Raw genomic sequence first — 5,648 nt, 5'->3', positions numbered from 1 at the left:
AGAAGATACAATTTACAAATTCACCAGCTATGGTGTTTTCCTTTGTAGGTTTATTTTAAGCCTCTCCCTTTTTCCTCACCCTACCCTCACATACACTTACAATTTTATATAACTCTTGCCATTTTTTCCTAGTCATCTGGGTTTTGTTACAAAGAAAATTGCTGTTTTCCATGTAACACATAATGAATAGCGGCTCACTATAATAAAAGACAAACATATTATTATTTGTTTTTATATATTGTTACTTATTTTCACATATATAGTTATCTTCCCTTATCCCTCTATTTACATCTTTCCAGTGATGCCAAACAAAGAGACAGCAGCAGTATCTAATATGTGGTTTTGCTTGCTATCTAAAATCCAGCCAATAGTAAAATGTATTATTTACATTTGCTTATAAGAGTGGAGAAAAAAATTATATCATATTTGTAAAATCTCTGTTGTTTAAGTACCCAGAGGCCATTTGAGTTTAACTCCCAGAGGACGTTGAAGTTAACTCCTATACTACAATATTGATCTAGTAACTAGATTAATTATCTAGATTTGTGACACACAAACATAACTCCCCCCTCCACACACAAATAGACAGAGAGGGAGAGAGATAGAAAGAGAGACAGAGAGAGAGGGCAGGGCAGGGGAGGGGAAGAGAGGATAGATACTGAGTTGCTACCCGTTGTTTTAGGTTTCAGTATTTAAATACAAGAAAACAAGAAGAACCAATGTGCTAGATTGGAAGAAAGCAATCAATGTGTTCCAGAGAGAATACAGGAAATACTGCTTGAAACAAAATGTCTCAGTGACCAAGCAGAAATTGGAACAGAGATTCATATTTTATAGAGATATTCTTGTGTCTGTAATGATTGTAAGTGAACCCTCAAAACATGACTTATTGTGTATTTTTAAGCATCTTTTCTAACCATCTCTGTTTACATTTTAGTACTTATTGGACTAATAATATTACAATATTGATACAACAATATTGTCTGTGCTTTCCTGGACCAAATAGTGGCCTTAATAAATGATGTCAATACTTGAGCCTTGTTTGGTAGTACAGACATTAGTATATCTAGGCTATGATGCCTGCTTTGTTTTCAGTTTAATCAGGAAGTGGCCTTATTGATAAAGGCTAAAAACAATGAGTTTCCTTTATTTGAAGTCACCCTGTGCATGTGTGGTCAGTGGAAAAGTCTAACTCTAAAGGAATGATTTCATTTAATTTGAATGGGGCATTCTGCTGCAATTCTAGTGGAACAACTGTAAATTTTGATTACTTTTTTTGACTTATGATAGATGATTCATAATTTTTTACATAGGACCAAATGATTTGGTCAAAATATTACTAATTATGTTTTCTGATATACTGAGTACTAACCCTTACCCGCACCCAATTCCCCACCCCGATTATACTGGCCTTTAAGTCAAAGAAACTTACTTTTCACTGGAAGGAATAATGGAATAACACAATTAATATATACAGAAGATTCAATTTTCTATTTGTAGATTATTTGATTTGCAGCCCAACATCAGAAATCATGACATTTTTATCATTGGCGATACAGTACTTTAATTTGTGTCAATATTATCAATTTGTCTTTACTAATATCATTTTGCTATACTCACATGGGACAAAAGTGAAAAAAAAATAACATTAATCACTTATTTTGTAAGTTTCATATTCTGTGAATATTGTGTGTTCATTTGGACACAAAATCACGGATTTCATCTTGTCATTATAAAATTTTAAACATTTAACAAGGATTATTTTCATTCTTCGAATTCTGCAGCTTTTGTTGAAATTGACTGATGGACTGACAGTCTACAGTATTTGTTACAAGCTTTGTGACATATTTTGTTTGATATTAGAGAATTACTTTTATATTTTGAAATTATTTCCTTCCACACCAAAAAGAAGATGGTGTTCATAATCTCTATGGCCTCTTTTACCATAACCACTGTTTATGTAAAATACATTTGCTATGCATTTTTCAGCTGCTAATCAAGTTCTAAAAAGCTTTGAATAATTTATACAATGATTTTTTCCAGCTTTTTCTCCCATATGAATAAGTTTTCCTCTTTAAAGTCCCACATATTTGTGAGAATGTGAGGGAAACAATCATTTGAATGTTTCCACAAGGTCTGCTACTTCCTTTGATCATTTCAGAAATGCTCTTAGAAATAAATCCATTAAATTTCAGAAATAGAAATTTAAAAGTGGGAAATAAAGTTAGGAGTGTGCAATTAGTTAACAATATGAAATCCTCCGGGCAATAGGTCTATAACAATGTTTGAGTTCCCTTTCTGAGGGATTTTTTTTTATTTTTTTTATTTTTTTTTTTAGTATCTGACACATGTACACACATAGACAGAAGATAAAATAGTTATAATAACATAGCAATAGGACTCTGGACTCATGCCTTGAAAATGTGCATAGCCTCTGTACTGAAATATTCTTATTAGATTGGGGATTTACTTAAGGCTTTGAAAAGTACATTTCCTGGCAATATCTAAAAATACATAAGATGCATTTCTCATATTTCTCTTGAATTTATGAAAATGTCCTTATATTTTCTACTCTCTGCAGAAATCTGGTTTAAAATATGGTTAGAATTCAACAACTAAACTAAAGTTGCATCTGGTTATATGCTTTTCTTCTTTATTATTACGTGTTGTCATATGGATCACAAGTTTGATGGATTTTGAACAACATACCCTCTTATGGCTTAGAACCAATTGTCTCCTCAAAAAACAGGAAACATAGAACCACGTGACTGGGAACATCATTTTCGCTTTTAGGTAGAGGGTATTAGTATGAATATATTAGTTAAAAGACCTGTTACATCCCCCAAGTGTGCGACTTACTAACTCTGTAACCTGGAGGAAGTTACTTAACTTTTCTGTCTATAATATGGAGATAACAACAGGGTTCAACTCGGAAGATTGTGGTGAACATTACACGGCATCATCAAAGCTGTTAGAGCATTGTCTGACACATAGCAAGCACTATGTACATATTTGCTATTATAATTAAGCGATAACCAAGGTGGTTCCAAGGGTCTAAACAGGAAAATCGTAGTCTATTAGGTACCATAGGTGATATAGGGCATAAATGTAGAGGCACGTTTGAAAGAGTAGAGATCACCTAAACATTTTAGTGAGCTGGAAAACAAAGAGTCAAGACTTGTTAAGACGTTTTCTCTTAAAAAGGCATTTAGTGCTCAAGCAATCTTTTGGTAACTAGCTTAACGGAACCTGGGGGTGACAGCAGGCTCCTTTAGGGAGAAATTTGTCAGTATAAACCATAATGCCCATGAGCCCTCTAACTTATCTTTGCTTATCAAGCTCTCCCATTCCCTGCCCAGCAGTTCTGAAATGTCCCATTCTTTTCCAGCCCTTTAACCAACACGCTCAACTTCGCTTTTTTAGTATGAGTTCTACACCACTTCATACTTCACTGAAAAAAGTAAGATGATGATATTGAAACTTTACAGCAGCTATATAAAGTAACACAAAATCATGTTACTCTGTTCTCTTACCTATCCTTACTCCTTCCTGACCACTGTCAACATAACTTTTATACATCCTCTCCACAGTCAGCTCATCTGGGCCATGCTCCACAATATGCTGTCATCTTCTTTGTATGAGAAGATGTTCCCATTGGACTAGATCTTAATTTTACAACTAGCTACAAATATAAAATCATCACCCATACTGTATTTTTTAGATAACATTAATAGCTTTATATTCATAAAACAATTGTGATGATACTAGAACATTCCTATATATAGCCTATACCCAGTTTCCTCTACAATTAACATCTTCCATTAGGATGATATACTTGTCACTATTAATGGACTAAAATTAATACTTTATTTTTAACTAAAGTCCGTATTTTAATCAGATGAATGTACCAGAATATAAGTAAACATGTCTCTATTGCTGAGAATGCAGGTTGTTTCTAATTTGTACATTTTATGAAAATAATTTATGAAGGGATTGGAAAATAGGAAACTTTAAATTCAGTCATGCTGTTTTAACATTTTAGTTTCAAAGCTATAGATTAATCTTTATCACAACACGTTTGATATTACTGCTTTCAGAACTTCATTCTGACCATCTCCCACTTTGTGGAGAGCAGCATGCCTACTTGGCTAACAAGGAAGGCCTACATGTCATAGATTTATTCCATCATTATTTTGTTTCAATGGAAAGTTACAATTCTTTAACTGCTTGGCTGATTGTTGTCCAGATGTCTTTTTTTACCCTGTCATATCATCTTCTATTAACATGGTCTTTAGCATTATTTCTCCTTCAGTTTAAGTCTTATTTTAAATTCTGTAGCACAAAATAAACTCAAGCTGTGCTCATGAAGTCTGTCCATACAACCAGATCCTTCCATTACAAAACAGGACATTTTGGTTGAGCCATAGGTTCATGCCATTTAATGTGGAGAATTTGCACCCTAAGAGATAACTGTTCCCTTTCTGCTTTCGTCCTCATGTGTTCAAAACATCATGCAAATTGGTAGAAGACTGTAATATTTGGGAGTATGAACTTGTGCCTGTTTTTTGAATTTTGTTGAACACCACTCCCCCTTTTCTCCTTCTTCTACTTTTTATTCCTCTTCCTCTTTTTCTTCACTTCCTTCTCTTTCTTCTTTTCTCACTATCTAGTTTGGGCTAATTAGATTTGTTTGATATTAAAGAGTAAAGGAGAAAAATATTCCCTACCATCGATTTTTAAAAAATTTTATGTTACTTAAAAATCAGTCTCTAGAAGGTAATTTTTAGAATTTTATTATTAAACAGAACATTATATTGTGTATAAGCAATATTAGAAGAAATACTCTTTCTGTGGTTGTGAAAATTAAGTTCTTTTTTATTAATTTTAAAACATTAATATCAATTTTGTAATTAAATGTGTACTGTATTTGTCCTGTTCTTTTTTTTTTTTTTTAACTTTTTTAATCTAGATACACTTTCCAGGGAAATTATGTGATCCAAGCAGGGGTCTGCAAACTACGGCCTGCAAACTAAATCCTGCCCTTGGCCCTGTTTTTATACATACCCAAGCTAAGACCAATGTTTAAATTTTCTAAAAGTTACTTAAAAAGATATGTGGCAGAGATTTTCTGTTGCTAGCAAAATCTAAATATTGACTATGCAGCTCTTTAAAAAAAGTTTGTAAGTGTACCAACCATCTCTAGGATAAATGTAACATTTTCTTTCCACGTATTTTGACAGCATATTTCCTTGCCTGTCTCTTAAAAACGCCACACAACTATCAACAAGTAAACTTGACAATATGTGACTAATTGCAAAACAGCAAACGCTGTAAATTGAGTTTAGCATGTCAAGATTTTAAAGAATATAAACTACTTTCTGGTTTACTTGTGTAACTACTTACTTTTTATGTTTTTGTTTCCTTCTAAAATGGGGCCATGGATTAAGCTAATTATAACCTGTAATTTTTAATTAAAATTTTATTTGAAAAAAGTTAAATATACAGGAAACTTCAAAAATAAAAAAGAACAATGTACCAATTATTATATTTTGTAACTTAATACATTCTCATATTAAGTATATTTTAAATAAAAGTTTAATTTTATCCAGCTTCCTGGGTCATGTTCAGCTCATCAAGCACTGGCACCG

The sequence above is a fragment of the Homo sapiens genome, chromosome 9, assembly GCF_000001405.40.
Source record: "Homo sapiens chromosome 9, GRCh38.p14 Primary Assembly".
NCBI classification, from domain to species: domain Eukaryota; kingdom Metazoa; phylum Chordata; class Mammalia; order Primates; family Hominidae; genus Homo; species Homo sapiens.
Note: the sequence above shows the minus strand (reverse complement) of the source record.